Here is a 19,010-nt window from a genome sequence, read left to right on the forward strand (position 1 = left end):
GAAGCAGCCTTTAGTATAAAACAAAGGAGCATTCCAGAGAACAAAGGAAAGGCTCATGTATTTATAAAGTCCCAACCCAGGTTCCCAATCAGGTCGATTTATGCAAATGAAGGATTGAAACTTGATTAGTGCTGATTGGTCAATGCAGCTAAGTTCTGATTGGTTGGTTCAGGTGAGCTCTGAAAGTTCCAGTAATAAAAAGGTTGAATTTTGGAGGGAACTCAGAGTATTTGTGTGACCTCCAATCAGCAAATGGCTGCTTAAGTCTATTTTGAGTTTATATCCAGTTAGCCATTCGGGATCCATCTTGAAGTATTGGCTCTTTCAGATTTATACTTTTTCAGAAGTATATTGTTCTGCAGTATTTTCCTAATATCTTTTTAATAAGTATAGTGTCTGTATTGTTATCTCCTATTTCATTCTTAATATTGGAGATTTTTGTCTTCTCTTTTCTTATTTTTGTCAATTTTGCTAGAGATTTATTAATTTTTTTAAGAACAAGCTTTTTGTTTTATTGTTTTCCTCTTTCCAATTTCACTGACTTTTTGCCTTATCTTTATGATTTCTTTCTTTCTGCTGGATTTGAGTTTATTTCACTTTTTTTCCCCTAGTTTCTAGAGGTGCAACTTACGGACTTGAGATCTTCCTCTTTTCTCACGTAAGTATTTAGTGCTATAAATTTTCCTCTCAGTACTCTGTTAGGTGCATACCACATATTTTGAAATATTGTATTTTCATTTTCATTTAGTTTTATGTGTTTTTAAAATTTTTATTTGATACTTCCTCTTTGACCCATAAATTATTTACAGTGTATTATTAAATTCCAAGTGTTTTAATATTTTTTATTTAAAACAATTTATTAAAAAATTTTTTCTATTTATTTACTTATTTATTGAGACTGGGGCTCACTTTGTTGCCCAGGTTGGAGTGCCAGTGGCATGACCTTGGTTCACTGTAAGCTTCACCTCCTGGGCTCAAATGATCCTCCTACCTCAGCCTCCAGAGTAGCTGGGACCACAGGTGTGCACCACTACACCTGGCTAATTTTTTGTATTTTTTGTAGAGAGGGGGTTTTGCCATGTTGCCCAGGCTGATCTTGAACATCTGAATTCAAGCAATCCACCTGCCTTCGCCTCTCAAAGTGCTGGGATTACAGGCGTGAGTCATAGTGCCTAACCGAAACAATTTTTTTTTAAGAGACAGGGTCTTACTATGTTGCTCGTACTGGCCCTGAACTCCTAGGCTCAAATGATCCTCCTGCCTCAGCCTCCTGAGTAGCTGGGACTACAGGCATGTGCCCAATGTTTAGAGATTTTTCCATAATTTATTTTTGGTGTTGATTTTTAGCTTGATTCTATGATGATTAGAGAATATACTCTGTATAATTTTTATATGTTTGTGGAACTTTTGTTTTGTAGCTCAAGATGTGGTCTTAGTGAACATTCCATTGGCACATAAAAAGATGTGTGTTTTTGGGTGAGGTGCTCTAAACAGGCCAATTAGATTGTGTTGTTTAGGTATTCTACAGCCTTGTTGATTTGCTGTCTAGTAGTTCTATTAACTGCTGAGAGGGAGGTGTTGATGGCCCCAACTATAATTGTGGATTTGTCTATTTCTCTTTTCAGTTCTATCAATTTTGTTTCATGAATTTAGATGTTTTGTTGTTTACTGTATTAATATTTGGGATCATTATGTCTTCTTGATGCATTTGTCCTTTTATCATAATGTAATGTCTTTGACTATATAATTTTCCTTGCTCTTAAATCTACCTTGTCTGACGTTAATATATCCACTCCTGTTTTTGTTTTAAATAACATTTCATGATTTATTTTTTTCCATCCATTTACTTTCAACCTACTTATGTCTTTAAATTTTAGGTATATTTATTGTGAACAGCATATAGTTGGGTCACTTTTTATTTTATCTACTTTGCCAATTTCTGCCTTTTAATTGTTGTATTTAAACCATTCATCCTTAAACTAATTTTTGACATGTTAGTGCTTAAGTCTGACATTTTATTTTTTTGATTTCTGTTTGTTTCCTCTGTTCTTATTCTTTCTTTTTTCTTTCCTTCCTCTGGGTTATTGAACATTTAAAAAAAAATTCTACCTTGATGCATTTTTGAGATAGGAATAGCACTGAGTGGTTTCAGGGGGATGGAAAAACCCCAAACAACAACTAAAACAAGAATCAGGCAAAGAAACCACACAATAACAGAAAATCCAAAACAAGGGAAAGAAAATGGCCAAAACTCTGGTCAAGGTGACTTGTCCATGACTGTTCCAGGTAAACCCAAATGAGGGAGAAGGTGGGTGGTAAGTGGGGGAGGGGTCCCTGAAATCCCCTCCTTTTCCAGAATACCTAGTGATTACTGCACCCCCTCATTAAAGAAATATCCATAAAATAGGAACGCTGGGTGGCCACAGGAAAAACGGAAAGATATCAAGGAACAATTTCACATAACAGCAAGAAAGGAACTGTTAAAAATTAGCTATAAGGACAAGGGCGAGCCTGGGCTGAGAAGACCCTAACAAACAGGACAGAGGCTAAGCTGGCTGACACCAGCTGGGTCCAGCGAGGCACTGGATTTGATCCATGCCCTACCAAAGTCCTAATTATATGCTCATTACCATACTAAATCACACACCCACCATTGCCATGACAGATTCAAGCATGGCCATATTTAGCGTAAAAATGGGTGGGCCCTTAGTTCTCAGAAATTTCTGCCTTTTTCCTAGAAAATCTCCAGATTATTCTACCCCTAATTAGAAGAGCCTATAACATTAGTAACCCAAACTCCATCGTGCATGACTCTGTCGTGAGTACGCCTGCAGCCCCGCCCTTGAGTGCGTACTTTCACTTTGCAGTCAAAGCTCCTTGTCTTTTCATTTCATTCTGACTCCTCCCTGAATTCTTTGTTATAATGGTGTCAAGAACCAGCTAGGGCTGGCGTCTCACTGGCATCTGTAGACCCACCTAAGCCCTCCGGCAGCATCTCTGGGACTTTTGAGTGCATCACTCTGTATAGTTTTCTTAGTGGTTGCTCTGGGTATGAAAATTTACATCTATGATTTATCACAGACTACTAGCATCAACGTGTTGCACTTACAAGTTAAGTGTGGAAGCTTTACGCCCATTTACCCTCTACCTTTCCCATTTTTAAATATCATTGCCTTAATTATTAGATGGGGTTATAATTTTTGTTTCAATCATAGCATGGATGTTAGGAAGCTCATGAGGACAGCCTATGGTATTCCATTCCTCACTGTGTTTTCTTCTTTCTTAATGCTCAGAAATACCTTAATTTGGCTGGGCACGGTGGCTCATGCCTATAATCCCAGCATTTTGGGAAGCTGAGGCGTTGGCGCATCACTTGAGGTCAGGAGTTCGAGACCAGCCTGGCCAACATGGTGAAACCCCGTCTCTACTAAAAATACAAAAATTAGCTGGGTGTGGTGGTGCATGCCTGTAATCCCAGCTACTCAGGAGGTTGAGGCAGGAGAATCGCTCCGGGAGGCGGAGGTTGCAGTGAGCCAAGATTGCACCACTGAACTCCAGCCTGGGTGACAAAGTGGGACTCCGTCTAAAAACAAACAAACAAACACAACCTTCATTTTTATTGCATTTCTGTCTGAAGAGCATCCTTCAGCCATCTTGAAGGTAGGCTGCTGGAGTACAGCTCCCAGCTGGCACTGCTTAAGGTGGCTGAAGGAAGGCCACCAGGACTGTCACCTCACATTGCCTCACATTGTCTCTAGGTGAGGGAATGACACCTCTGGCCTAGGGAGACAAAGAGAGCTTCCTCGGCTGGGTGCTGTGGTGGAGGCCTCCTTGACAGTGCCTGATGCCCCCACCAGACAGTGTCTCTAGGTGGAAGAGAGAAGAACCACAAGGAAGGGAGAACTTACCTTGGCACCTCTTAGCCCTGGGGCTTCGGCTCCGTCCCTGTGGTTCTGCCTGGCTCCTGGGATATTGTGTGCAGAACTTCCACTAGATTCCAATGTTGTTAGGTACCTGGGCCACCTTCTGTCGTGTTTTGGGAGTGGGAAATGCTAGGCCTGGGTTGCCTTCTGTTACGCAGGGGTTGCAAGATACCCTGAGGTTGTGTTGTTCACAATATAACTCTTCAGTCCTCTTGAGGTCCCAAATCAGTTTGCCTTCCTCTTACCACTTCTCCTTTGATTTTCTCCTGCCTTCTATCCAGGGTTTATCATTGTACTTAGCAGGGAGAAGCAAGGAGACCTAGTCTACACTAGTCATCTTGTTTGAATAGAAATCCCTTTTGTTAGAATTTTAAAAATTTAGATTGTTCAATTCTTAAATATCCTTTAGCCACCACAAAACAAAGGATTTCTCACTGGCTAAATTGTCCCATATAATGCTTGTATTCTTGTCTTTCCAATTTCATCTCTAATTCTCCCCTATTCTCACTAAGGTTTTCTAGAGAGCCAGAAATTCACACTTGATTATGCACAGAACTCTGCTCTCTGCAGCCCCTAACCTATAACTCTGCCCTAAGCCCTTTGGTCTGTCTCAAACCCATCAATGGGCTCAGTTGAACAAAAGAGTCTTCTGCTTCTCTGGCCAGCACAAAAGATAGGCAGAGACCCAGGGTAAGAACATTTTCCTTTCACAGTATCCTTTGTCCTTTGAAGACATTGACTGTTTTAAATAGTATCTTCTATCACCCCTACGTGTTAACACTAATGTAGACAGGGCATTTTTTGCTCCACCTTTTGACCAAAGACTATGATCTCCTTAAAGGTTGGGATTACATCCCTAACACCAAGCAAAGTGCCAAGCACAGAGAGGGACTGTAATAAATGTGTGTTAACTGGTAGGAATAAAAGGCAGGCTGTTAAACTCTTTCTTCACTGTGTCAATAGGTTCAGCATGACAATAATAGGTCTGGAGGGAAACTGAAAGGTCAATTAGTTCATCTTTTTGCTTCTGTCCAAGAACACACACCAGATAACTAGGTAGCCAGTCTGATTTTAAGTACTTGGAAAGAAAAGAAAATTACAGTTTCCTTTAGTAATCCATTCCAGTGTTTAACAACTCTCATTGTCAGCAAGATTTTCTTTATATCTAGCCTAAATGTCTCTCGTTGCATTTTTAAACCTTAGCAGGTAGAAATGTGCAGCCAGGATTTGAATGGTCTTTATTTCTTTAATTACTTTTGAGCAAGTGAACAAGTATTTATGAGCTAAATACTTTCTTTCCATGCATCAGGTCCCAAACTATCCTTTATCTGAATATATGTGCATTTACCTGTCTTCATCATTTGGCTCTGAACTACCAGTGCCCTGATATTAGCTCCTTCCTGTGGAATATTGATTGTGTTAATGGTTTCAGTTTGCACCAGCATTCTTTGGTAGTGCCTTCCCGCACTGACTCTGGGCTTAACCACATGACTTGCTTTGGTCGATGGGACAATTGCAAATTAGATGCAAGCAAAGTCTTGAAGAAACTCTTGAATATTTCTGCCTCTTTTCTTTACCTCACTGTGATAACTTGCCCAGGCCAATTTGCTGGAAGGATAAGACAGCAACCTGGAGAAAAACTGAGTCTTCCACTGTGAGGCCATCCAAGACCAGACAGCTCCTGACCGACACACCAGCTGATCACAGACAGACACATAAGGAGAGCTTAACTGAGATTAGCGGAGCCTGACCCAGGTCATGAGAGATAACTGCCCAGTGGATCCATAGACTCATGATAGATAATGAGTGGATGTTGTTTTATGCCATTAATTTCTAGTGTGTTGGGTTTGCAACAAAAACTGATCCTCTCCCTAGGAGGAGCTTCACTGGTGGAGCTTGACCTCAGCAAGAGGTTCTCCCTGCTGCTTCTCTAACTCTTGTTGTCTTACCTTCTTGCCTGTGTATCTCCTTCTTGCTTTGCTCTGAGTGGTCAACCAGCATAAACTACCTTGGACCACTCCGCCAGTTTTTGACCCTCAGCTTCATGAGAAGCAGCCAACATTCTAGTTGTTTACCATTGCACACATTTGGTGCATGCTTATATGTCCCTCTGTTTTGTAATCCCTGCTCCTGTATCCTTGCTTTATGACATACTGATAGAGCATTTCGCATTCCAACAATACTGATATATTATTATGAGATTGTATTCTGAGTTATAACCAAATGTATTTCAGAGTAATAATGCCCCCTGGGAGTTACTAAGACAGTTTGAATGTGGCAGTAATGAGTCCAAAGTTGTAGGCTTAATCCCATTATCAGCAACTAGCTTTATACAAAAGAAATAATGGTTTCATTTAGACTATACTTTAAAATAGGTCAAACATTGCATGAATCCACACCCTATCACAAAGGATTCTAAGCAAAAGAGTGTTGGTGGCCCAGTACCAACGATAGCTAAAATTCTCACACACACACACACACACACACACACACACACATCTTAGTGACTACAGGGCAGGAGGAAATCTTTATATGAAGATAATATAAACACATCGGTAACTTACCTATGAAGAAAAACCAAGAATTAGCTAGTGAATACTTTTGATCTGAAAGTTTCTGTTCACTCTTCTTTGTAATTCATATGTTGAAATCTTAACCCCCAAAGGTGTTGGTATTAGGGGATGGGGTCTTTGAGAGGTGATAAGGTCATGGCAGTGGAGTCTCATGAAGGGGATTAGTGCCCTTACAGAAAAGCCCATTGCCCCTTCCACCAGGGGAGGACACAGCAAGAAGGCACCATTTGTAAGCCAGAAAGAGGATCCTCACCAGATACTGATTCTACTTTGTCCTTGAAGTTCTAGTTCTCTAGAACTGTGAGAAATAAATTTCTGTTATTTATAAGCCACCTAATTTATGGTATTTTGTTATAGCAGCCAAAATGGACTAAGACAATGTAGAATTGGCAATCAGAGAGTCCATTTGGAATAAGTATACTTCATAAAATAATCAATAGAACCATTTTTTGAGAGTTATTTTGTGTAGCACAACTATGGAATAGACTAAACATTTAAAAATGATGACACATCCCTTTGGTAAATCCTAGTAGATTTAACTATTAAGTGGACCAGTTGCCAAATAGATCAAATGTTGAGTGAACTCAGGTCTCTGTTGAGAGTTCCAGCTAAAAAGAGAGATATGCTTGAGTTACAGACAAGGACTGGGCCTCAAAACAAGAGATCTGGGAATTTTTATCTATTGTTGGTTGGTTATGTAATGCTAAGAGGATTGTAGGATCTTTATGTGTTTTTTGTCCTCTGAAGGGTAGAGTAGGGAAGCTAGTGGGTTATGACTCAGAGTGATAATTATAGTGTTGCATATTCACTGAGTCAAGGAATGGGCTCATTGGCTGGAGCAGAACTTCAGGCCTCTTTCCTGCCATGTCTTCTTCTATGTTTACTGTTCTGATTCTGACTGAGCAGAGCTATGTACAGAAAGATGAATATAATAAATTTGTTTAGGAAGGGTTTTCTATAAACATTGTTCTCTAAAGATATTCTTTGAGGGCTAAAACTAAAGTAATAAAGAAATTGACAGTATTTTAAAATAAAATATGTTTTTAAGATGATTTCAGTACTAAATTATACCACCTCCAAGGTTACCTATGTTTTTGCTCAGCAGTCTTTGTATTCCTCCCTTGATAATTTCCCAACTGTTTCAGCACTACAGCACTATCCCACTTTTTCCTCTCAGAAATGGCACTGCCACCATCTACTGTGAGGAGGAGACCAAAGCCACCTGGCATGGATCCCCTCCGTGTCATGTTGACATAAACCTATTCTCTCTATTCTGCTCTCAAAACCCCTAATTTTATTGTTTCTGCTTAATCTTCTTTCATACAAAGCCAAACTTCTCTATTTCCTCGCCAACAAATCATCCTTTAAGTTTAACCCTTTGGCATTCGTCTATTCTTGCGTTGCTATAAAGAAACATCTGAGACTGGGTAATTCACAAAGAAAAGAGGTTTAATTGGCTCACGGCTCTGCAGGCTGTAGAGGAAGCATGGCACATCTGCTCAGCTTCTGGGGAGGCCTCAGAAACTTAAAATCATGGTGGAAGGTGAAGGGGAAGCAAGCCCTTCTCATGGGTGGAGCGGGAGGAGGGGTTGGAGGGGAGGTGCCCCACACTTTTAAACCAAAAGATCTCATGAGAACTCTGCCACTAGAACAGCACCAAGGGGATGGTGCTGAACCATTCATGAAGGAACCACCCCCATGATCGAACCACCTCCCACCATGCCCTACCTCTAACACTGGGGATTACAATTAGACATGATTGGGTTGGGGCACAGATCCAAACCATAGTACCTTTCTAATCTCATTTTCATTGGATCTAATTAAGCTCATACTCATGGTAATGACCAGCCACTGTGAAATCTGACAACCTTTATTAGTGCTCATACTTCTTCAGCTTTATTGAACATTTAATGCTGTTGGACACCTCTCTTCCTTGAGCGGTTCTCTTGTTTTGGCTTCTGTGCCCATATATTCTAGTGGTTCCTCTGTTTTTTCCAACCACTCCTTTTCTAGATCTTGCATGGTTCTTCTCTCTCCACCTGCCCCTAAGTGTAAAATTTCCTAAAGTTAAATCCTTGGCCTTCTGTCTTGGTTTCTTTATACTTTCTTCCATAACTGCATTCCTTTGTCCTTCATTTTTCCCACCCATTTCATTCCAATACTTACAGGGCTCCAGCCCAACCTATTACAAAGTGTCTACCCTGCCCATAGAAATATCCTGCAATATTCAGGCAAGCCACACTGATTTCAACACTTGTTGAATAAAGAATAAGTCATTTTTTTTCAATTTAGTATTCTATTTGATATGTCATGACCAAAATAAATGTGTCTAGAACTGTATGTTGGGTCATAGTATTTATGTGTTGTTATTTAAACACATTATTCATATTTTGTTATTGCAGAGCTTCAACCCCTGAAGCCACCAAATTCAAAGGTCTATGAGTCTTCTCCTTACTGTAGGTGGGTGAATTTGCTGTTTCTGGATATACTCACGTTTATTCCAACTTCTATTCAGTCTGCAGTGAGGAAAATAACTCTGACTTTGCCTTGTTTTCTGCTGCAGCACAACAGGGCATGCCAAGAGAACTCTGTAGGGAAGGCTCAAAATTAAATGAATTTTACTCAAGTACTGAATTTTCAGCAAGCCAAAGAACTTCTTTTCAGTGGTTTTATTTGGTATTTTCACCAGAGCTTTCTCACATAATCGTCTCCTTTCTTTTGTTCCCTGTCGTCAAATGCATGGCCTCTGATGCTGAACATTCCCCGGGGGAGAGACATGGATGATCACAATGGCCCAGCATGGGTCTTGGCACTCGATGTGTGAGGCAAGTTAGCACCAAGCTGCAGGGCTGCAAGTGGGGCAGAGCTTCTCCAGGCCTTCCTATGGGGCTTCATCACACTCTGTAGCTTTTCCTCGAGTTCAAATCCTGTCCACAGACAAACTTCTAACAAAGCTTTTGTTGTTCTGATGAGTCACAGCTTCTCCCTATTTATGTCAATCATTCGGGGCACTCAGTTTTAACTATACAGTGTTTCTGCATACTCATCGGTTTCTTTTTCCTATAAATGTGAAAATAGTGTAAGAAAAGACTCATCCCCTCAGTGTCCACAAAAGCAGTGAGAAAAAAAGAGAAAATACTCATCCTGTAGCTCTTGAACTCAAGTAGTGAAGACTCAAGGCAGCAACCCCAGACTAAGTATCAATGATTCACACTTGTGAGAGGAAGGGAACTTGAATTATAGTGCACTAATCAAATAATTATTCTTTCCTACAGCGCAATCATGGTCATGACAATGAACTAACAATGAGTCATGCACTTTCTAAAATCACTTTTGGCCTTAACCTAAATTGTGTGGATGGCTTCTTTCTCAACTTGTGAAACTAGGCCTTTTGCGTCCTCATGTTCTAAAATGCTATTACTCAAAGTGTGGTCTCTGGCCCAGCAGCATCAGCATCTCCTGGAACCTGTTAGAAGTGTAGAATCTTGGCCAGGTGCAGTGGCTCACACCTGTAATCCTAGCACTTTGGGAGGGTGAAGCGGGCAGATCACGAAGTCAGGAGTTCAAGACCAGCCTGGCCAAGATAGTGAAACCCCGTCTCTACTAAAAAATACAAAAAAATAGCTGGGCATGTTGGTGGGCACCTGTAATTCCAGCTACTTGGGAGGCTGAGGCAGGAGAATTGCTTGAACCCGGGAGGCGGAGGTTGCAGTGAGCCGAGAGCGTGCCATTGCACTCCAGCCCAGGTAACAGTGTGAGAAGTATAGAATCCCAGTACCAATTCAGGCCTGGCGGATGAACACTTGTGTTTTTAACAAGATTCTCAGGCGATATATGTGCATTTTAGATTCCAAAGGCATTGAATTCCTTTTTGTCTACTTCATTCATTGATCCTTTAGTAGCCTTTCTACTCTCCTTATATATTTTTTAGAGAATAAATTTATTTTTAACAATTCTGGATCACTCACCCACATACATTTGTAGAGTTTAAGACTTCTTGGTTGCAATGATTAGAGCTAATATTAGTCAGATCATTTTTCAACTATCTGAAGGCAAACCAATGAGAATCCCTAATTCCTGACTTAATGGGTAAGCCAGTTCAGAGCTCTTTCTGTCTCTCTCTCATACACACACACAGCCTGCCAGTGGGTGTGTAAAAGTCTAGTTTTCTAGTCACAAGTAGAGAGTTGGTTAAACATTATAGGTTTGAAGCACACTTTAACTGATTCAGTAATTTTAGGGGCGCTGGCTGTCAGGAACATAATTGGTTCCTATAAAATTCTATTGCTAGATTACTTGGTTTGGGAAAATTGTTTCCCGATAGGCCATTACTCTTGCAAGGATATCTTATCCAAAGAGAGAAATGACTGATCAAACTTATAACAACTCAATACAGTTAAGTGTAACCTTCAAAGTCTTGGGGTAAACTTATTTATAAAAAAGGAGCAAAACATTATAGATAATTGACTATTTAACTTACCCTTGTTTGCCTCCATCTGTGAAAGGAGCATCTTTGATGGGTTGAGAGTACTAATTGTATCCTAGACTTGCTCATCCCCAACACTGAGGCCCTGAGTCTGTACCCTGACTTGGGGGCTGAACTGGAGCAACTCTTTGCTCTGGGAGAAGAGTTAAAAGGAGTTCACAATGTTCAGGCCCAGCTGTCTTTTGGGAGAGATGTCTGCACTGATTATGGATCCAAACATCAGAGAGGAAGTGACAACTTTTCAGAATCCTTGATTCGAAGTCAAGAAAGCCTAGAAGAACATGCAAGACAACATTCAAGCAGAACCCAGGGATACTATGCAGAAAGTCTTTCAATTTGAATACTTTACTTATTTCTTTACTCATGTGTGTATTTATTGAATAAATAGGTATTAAGGGCTTGTTTTCTGTCAGGCACTGTTCTACGTACTGTGTTTATAGCAATGAAAAAAAAAAAAAAAAAAAAGAAAAAAAAACAGTAAAAAGTCCCTGCCTCTGCAGCTTTACAAATTCTAGTAGGAAACCCTGGAAAGTTTTGAGTAGAGGTGAGATGTAACTTGGTTTATGTTTTAGGAAAACCTCTCTGTCTGCTCTGTTGAAAATGGATTGCATTTATTAAATAGAATGGACTGGTGGACTATCAAAGACACCAGAGTGAGGCCTTCTTTCTGTCCATTTGAGCTTAAGAGTATAGCGTCTCAGACCTAGTTGCTTAAGACTTTAGAACGGTTCACTCAAAACAACACTTTTGATTGACCATCTTATAATAAACCCAATGGTGGAGGAAACTCTTCTCCTGAAGCATTCCTGAAATCTTACCTGAGTAGACCTCTCTTCATGCAGGGTCTCTGCAGGCTGAATGCCTGGTACAGACTACCATAGAAAAGCCTTCCTAAAAATTACAGTAGCTGCTAAATGTCTCTTGAAACTTCGTATCAGCATTTTATTAAAAATTCAGGTCTTGATCTCTCAATATATTAACTTGCATGAGAAATGGATTTGGGGATTAAGGGTAAAGAAGCTAACATTTGTTGATAGCATATAATGTGCCAGACTCTTTATGTACATACTTTCATTTAATCCTCATACCAACAATGTGTGGTGCAGTAGATATTGTTATCCCTAATTCACAAATGTGGAAAATGAGCTCAGAGTGGTTAAGTATTTTCCCCTATCCCATGACTTGACAGTGTTATGAACAGGACTGGGAGACCCAAGATACCTCCTTCTCACAACATAGCTGCTGCTGCTGTCACGTCAATGATGACTACTACTGTACACTGAAGGCACCACTATTTAACTACTCACCATTATTACACCATTTCAAATTAAATGAATGTACAGATTTATGACTTTTGCAACCCTTGCAATTCTGTTATTAGCCTATAATTGAGATCGTTCAAGCATCCTCCATCTTGAATTGCTTGCTGTACAATATCCCTGCCAAAAGTCTGGCTGGCAAAGTTGATAGAGCAGCATAGAAACAACCATTGTCCATTAGGAAGGCTACCTTCAAAAGGACAGAAAATAATAAGTGTTCGCAAGGATGTAGAGAAATTGAAACTCTTATGTACTGTGGGTGAAAATGTAAAATGGTGCAGCCATTATGGAAAGCAGTGTGAAACTTCCTCAAAAAAATCAAAAATAGAATTATCATATGATCCAACAATCTTACTTCTAGGTATATATCCAAAGAAATTGAAAGAATGATTTCACAGAGATATTTGTGCAACATTTTCATTGTAGCACCATTTACAATAGCCAAGAGGTAGAAGCAGTCCAAATGTTCGTCAATGGATGAATGGGCAAATAAAATGTGGTATATACACAGAATGGACTATTATTCAGCATTAAAAGGAGAAAATTTAAAAAGCACAAATACTGTATAATTCCACTCATATGAGGCATTTAAGATAGTCAAAAGCATAGAAAGAAAGTAAAATGGTGGTTGCCAAGGGTTGAGGGAAAAGGTGTTTAATGGGTAAAGTTTCAGTTTTGCAAGATGAAAAGTGCTACAGATATATTGCACAACAATGGGAATGTACTTAAGACCACAGAACTATACACTTAAATGGTTAAGATGGTAAATGTAATCGCATGTGCTTTTTACCGCGATAAAAAATATTCAAGGAAGAAAGGTTATCTACTGATTAGTACCTAATCACCATTGCCACTTGAAAATCCAAGACAAGAATTAGCAATATATTTTTATCTTAGTTGACAGTAGGATCTTGGATAATTAATATTTGTTGGTGGTTTATTTTTAGGGACAAGAAACATCATTATAGATGCTTCTCCTGTATCATCTCTCTTTCAAACAACTGATATTTGATGGTGTATCTAAATTCATTCCTTTTGGTATGATATGGCTTTCTTTTGGCATTGGTGGTATTTTAATGGGCAAAATAAGTAATAAGGCACTTGTTATTTAAAAATTAGAAGTGAGCATTCTAGTCATCCATTTCTTCAAATTTTCTAAGCTCTACCCTTCTTCCAAGTTAGGTCACCCAAATGCTATATGCCTGGAGAATATTAGTGTTTCCCTTTCTGTAGAAGTGGTTCGACAAATTCCCAATACATTAACATGTTTTTGACCTTTATCCAGGGTCAATCTAAGAAATGGCTTTATGAAGAATACCTCTCTATCATTTGTAAAATTGCTATTAAACACAATGTTAATTTATGTTTCTTATAAAACACACTTGCATTCAATCTCTCTGATTTTTTTTATTTTTTATTTTTTAGTTTGGGAATGTTTGTCTATTTTTCTTATGTGACTATATTCTTCATTTATTATAAAATGAGAATGATATCACCCATTCTGTTTTCTCTTTACCTAGCCTCTAGGAAATCCAGAGTCTATGTTTATATGAAATTTAATAATTATTTAGCCCAGATTTCTGGCATCATTACCAACATCATCACTATTAAGCATTACATCATTGCTTTGTATTTCTTTGTGAATGAACTTTAATCCTGTTACGGATTTAACTGTAATTTCTGAGCTTGTATTCCTTATCAAACAGCAGGGAAGTCTCCCAATTTGTCATTGGAAGGCTTTTCACTTCTGTGCTATTACCTATTGAAGCATTTCTCAAATGTTTAAAAACTGTCCCTAAAGGCAGAAAGAATGAATGAAAATCCTGAAGGGGTTTGGGAGTGTATCTCAAGTAGCTCAGTGCTGGCATAATATTTCTTTGTATTTTATGTTTTATCTCCTCCAAAAACACATCTGCATTTTTTAGAGATAAAAAGATAATTTTTAAATCACTTATCAGTCAACATACTTACCTTTTCCTTTTTAAATCTTTGAGTAAAATTAATACTCAAGGTAGATGTACTATTTTTATCTTGTGACTTTGAAACCCCTTTGATTCCTGACACTAAATGTAACACAAGAGAGACATTGAGAGCTGAAAGTAAACCTGCAAATAACCTTTCCCAATCCCTTCATTTCCTGTGTAATGAAACTTGGGTACAGAAAAGTTCAACCAAGATCTCCCAGAATAGATTTTGTTTCTGGTCTCCTGGGCCAAAGGACTTCCTGTTACATCACATGCCTCATTCTATGGCCTTGCAGCCTAATGAATCATACAAGAAGGCAGGATCAGATGATCTGCAGCTCCCTTTCCAGCCCTACTATTTTGTTTTTGTGCTTCTGAAAGCCATGACTACACTGAGCTCAATAATATAAGTGGAGTTAAAAATAATTAAAGACGTCAATAGCTGTCATGAAGATGCCCAATATTGTGTAAAGTAGTTTGCATCCTAAACACACGACTCACATGAGAATATTTTGAAGGATGCAGCAATGCTCCTAGAACACTCTGTACACAGAGGTGGGTGAAAGTTTGCATTTAAATTTCAACGTTCTGTTCACCTCTATTTTTATATCAGAATGTAAATGTCACAAAGACAGATATCATCAACAGGGGGATATTGTTTGTACGTATCAGTTTCTGGATATAGATTCAGGTCCCTGAGTTATTATTCTTTAGTTAGTGCTGTCCAATAGAGCTTTCTGGGGTCATGAAATGTTTAATATCTGCTCTGTACAGTATGGTGGCCACGAGCCTCATGCGGCTATTGAACACATGAAATGTGGCTAGTGCAACCAAAGATCTGAATTTTATTATTTATTTATTTATTTTTATTTACTTATTATTATTATTATTTTTTGAGGTGGAGTCTTGTCTTGCTCTGTTACCCAGGATGGAGTGCAGTGGCACGATCTCGGCTCACTGAAACCTCCGCTTCCTGGGTTCAAGTGATTCTCCTGCCTCAGCCTCCCAAGTAGCTGGGACCACAGGCGCCTGCCACCTCACCCAGCTAATTTTTGTATTTTTAATAGAGACAGGGTTTCATCATGTTGACCCGGCTGGTCTCCAACTCCTGACCTCAAGTGATCCACCCGCCTAGGCCTCCCAAAGCGCTGGGATTACAGGATGAGCCACTGCACCTGGCCTGAAGATCTGAATCTTAAAAGTTAAGTGTAATAAATGTAAATAGCACATATGGCTTCTGGTGACTGTATTGGACAGTGCAGCCTCTGGGTCTTATAAAAGAGGAGAGATATAGAATTGGAGGAATGAGGTGATCAACTTTCAAAACACAGATACGAAGAACAGGCAAGTCATTTTCTTTTACTTCAAGTCTTTCCAAAGATATCAAATTAATCATTGTTAATCATATTAAGAAATATCTCAGGAGAGGAAAAATATTTATCTTTTTCTTAAAAAAAAGACAATTTAGTGACAGTCATAAAATTAACTGCTTTAAAACGGGGGAAAAAAGTGAACACTAATGCCATCTTGTGGATTCTGGATGCTGGGACATGCTCAGGTTTTGTGAACGTGTGTTCAGTGACAAGCCATGAAGTCCAGAGAGTAGTCACATTTGCCTTTCAGTTATATATTTTGAATGTGTTTGCATGAATTATAGCCAGAGGGCTTCAAAGAATATCCACACATTAAAAATCAATCTTGAAAAAATAAATAATCTTTTATTCTTGATTGACTTGAATGGCTGATAAAGGATGGGCAACTATCTGAATTCAGTAACAATGAGTTTTTGAAAAAAAAAATCATAGTTGGCGCCTGTTTGGGTTCATTTCTATAACAATAATTTAAAACATTTTCCCAATGTCTTCCTTTACCTCTTTAAAGTATCATGGAAAATAAAAAGGAGATACAAAAAAGTGCTTAGAAATTTTCAAGATCCTTGAATCAAAACAGAACTATCTTTCTATATTTTATATATCTGAAAATGTTTTTGATTGTCATGTATAGTTATATTTGCTTCATCACATACCAACACACACACACACACACACACACACACACACACACACACTCCTGCAGTTATTCAGTTCCCTTTTCTCATCTCATATTCCTGTCATTAAATGAGTTGTACGGCCCTCTAGGACAAGAACTCTGCCTTTGGTACCATAGTGCTTGTCAAATATTAAGTGTAATTTACACTTATTAATTGATTTGTCTTCTGGATCTCCTTCTGCTAAGGCTCTCACAGATACTCTCCTGGCACAAACAAGGATATAGGAATTGTTTTTATCCTATAAAATGCTTATCTGATAAAGTTAAAAGGTAATAAAAATGATTTTACATACATGATGGCGATAAGGAGGAAAAATCCTGCACGTGTAATTATGATGAGGCATAAGGAAGAAGAGATGATGATGTATACTTTTTTTCTTTCTATCTGGCCCAAAATGGTGCTGATGATTTGTATTGGAGACATCTTTTAAATATAGTATTAATAAATAGACTTTAAATTATTTGTTTGGAAATTTAAATGTCATCATTGTGTTAGGGTGTTCAATAAGCCTAAATTTGAAGGGAGGACATTGTAATTAATGATGAATTCAGAATTCTGAATTTAGAATTCTGGAAATTTAATCTAGAAAGTAATAAATCATGTGTATTGATGTATCCATGAGGCAGAGATTGAAGAGAGGAGAGGAGAGGAGGGACATCAGAAGCTCAAGCATCAAAAGATTATTTGTCTCCAAAAAAGAATTTATTGGTGCTATAAAGTGGAACAGGAAGACACAATACTGTTCTATAGAAAGAAATTGAGGATTTTGAACATATTGTGATGAACATAAAGTGCAATGTGTGCTGTAAAAGATAAAAACATCAAGTCTGAGGCAGCAAGTCCAATAGAAATGGATTAGGAAGAGTAGCTAAAGCTGTAATAAGAGACACGGTCATTTAGGTTCACCGGTGGAATCAGGAGAAAAGAGCTTCCTAGATCATTGACATAAAAAGAGACTAGAAGGCTTAGCTTTTGCTGGGAATAGGAGAACATATAGACCCAGAAAAAGATATCTGAGAAATAAGAGACAAATCAAGTGTAATTCTCAAGATATAGAGAAGACAGCAATATTAAAGATACTAAAGCTGACAATAATAAAGTTTACCATGTGAAAACCAGGATCATTTCAAATGAAAGGAGAGAGTTCTTTCCCTGCCTTATATCCTGTTTCAGGAATAAATTTATTTTCCAAACATAGGTCAATAAAATAATAGTAACAGATTTTAAAGGTTTGTACACCAAGAACTTAAAAGGAACATAACTTATATTGGGAGACATTCATGAAAGGAAACTCAATGTTAGTATATGTAAATTCATTTTTTTTCCTGCTGGAATAAAAGTAAAAATGGTAAAGGCAGTGAGGAAAATTTATCTTTATCATATATGTTTAAAAGAAAAAAATTAATCATTTCATTTATGGCAATATGGCAGACTAGATGATTTGAAAACTTACCTGCAACTAACATCTAGACATGTAGGATAACATATAACAAAAGTTATTCGAAATATAGAGCTGAATTTGAAAGAAAACATGATATAGTGGCCAGAAAGTAAGAAGGAAATGAAAATCACTCTAGTAAGTGTGAGCTGAAACTGTGTAACCCTGGAGTATTTGACTGTCACAGAAACACTTGTATAGAGATAAGAAAAATTGGGAGTTAGCAGGGAAGAGAGGTGGAATTGATATAGATTATAGCGTCATAAAGCCAAGACCCTTAAAGGGCTATGTGCTTAGTGAAACGTAATCTTAGAAAAGTTCTACATATCAGCTCCGAAAGATGATGAAGATGATTGTGTGTCTCAGACTCAACCCTGGGAATTAATAAACTTAGGCATAGCTTCACAGTGATTTGGGGACTGAATTTAGATTGTCTGTATTGTCTGGAAACCTCAAGTTAAGAGATGAACATAAAATGACTCTAGGCTGCTGATAGTCCTGGGACTCCTCGCAGAGAAAAAAATCACAAGGAATACTTTAAAAATCCAGATGATAAGATAGATATTTCATTGATAAAGATCCTATCAATCATCCAAATAATGAACTCACAATACAGTATTTCAAAACTCAAGACAAAATAGTCCACCATGTGCAAAAGTCAGCATATAAAATAAAGAATATTATACATTGAGACTTTGAGATAAAAGAATTGCAATATAAAATAAAATATCAAATAATTATGTTTAGTGTATATAGAGGTGTTAAAAATGTTAGAAAAGGAAATTAATAGATTTTCGTGAAATTAAAAATATACTATTTGAAATAAAAAATCTAATAGGTTACCCAGCTGAACATAAAATTAATAAACTATAAGATATATTTGAAGGAATTATTCAATGTTAAGCACAAAGATAAAGAGATGGAAAATACAAAAGAGAAGAGACATGGAGAACAGAATGGGAAGTTTCAACACCGTAAACAGGAGATGCAGAAGGAGAAATTATTGAGAATGGCAGAGAGGTAATATTTAAAGTTTAAAGACTTTCCTGGTTGAAGACTTTCCAGAATTGATGAAAGACATCAATCTTCAGATTTAAAGCATACAGTGAATTTCTAGCAGGATAAAAGGAATTTCATATCTAGAAAGAGTTTATTTAAAAAAGCAGAACACCAAAAAAAAAAAAACACCCTACAAATTCATACCGATTTAGATTGTCTTCACACTTCAATTGGCAACAAAAGCAAGCAGAAACAAAA

At 38.0% G+C, this 19,010-nt stretch overlaps 1 long non-coding RNA gene across 2 annotated transcripts, besides 1 other annotated feature; it reads left to right on the forward strand.

Annotated features, from left to right (window-relative positions):
- Positions 1-207: 207 nt before the first annotated feature.
- On the forward strand, positions 208-11,382 carry LOC105378068 (uncharacterized). 2 transcript variants are annotated; one of them, NR_134597.1, is made up of 3 exons: positions 208-312; positions 612-658; positions 11,002-11,382. It is a non-coding gene; the product is annotated as an uncharacterized LOC105378068 (long non-coding RNA). The 2 variants fall into 2 exon arrangements; NR_134596.1 differs by lacking the exon at positions 11,002-11,382 and adding an exon at positions 8,899-9,468.
- Positions 9,020-9,596: an enhancer, noted in NCBI's record as "OCT4-NANOG hESC enhancer chr6:155844790-155845366 (GRCh37/hg19 assembly coordinates)". NCBI's record gives its function as "activates a minimal SCP1, AML or CMV promoter by ChIP-STARR-seq in naive and primed H9 embryonic stem cells {active_cell/tissue: H9 hESC(naive and primed)}" and the evidence as "EXISTENCE:reporter gene assay evidence [ECO:0000049][PMID:30033119]".
- Positions 11,383-19,010: the final 7,628 nt, after the last annotated feature.

This window comes from Homo sapiens, chromosome 6, assembly GCF_000001405.40.
Source record: "Homo sapiens chromosome 6, GRCh38.p14 Primary Assembly".
Lineage (NCBI taxonomy): Eukaryota > Metazoa > Chordata > Mammalia > Primates > Hominidae > Homo > Homo sapiens.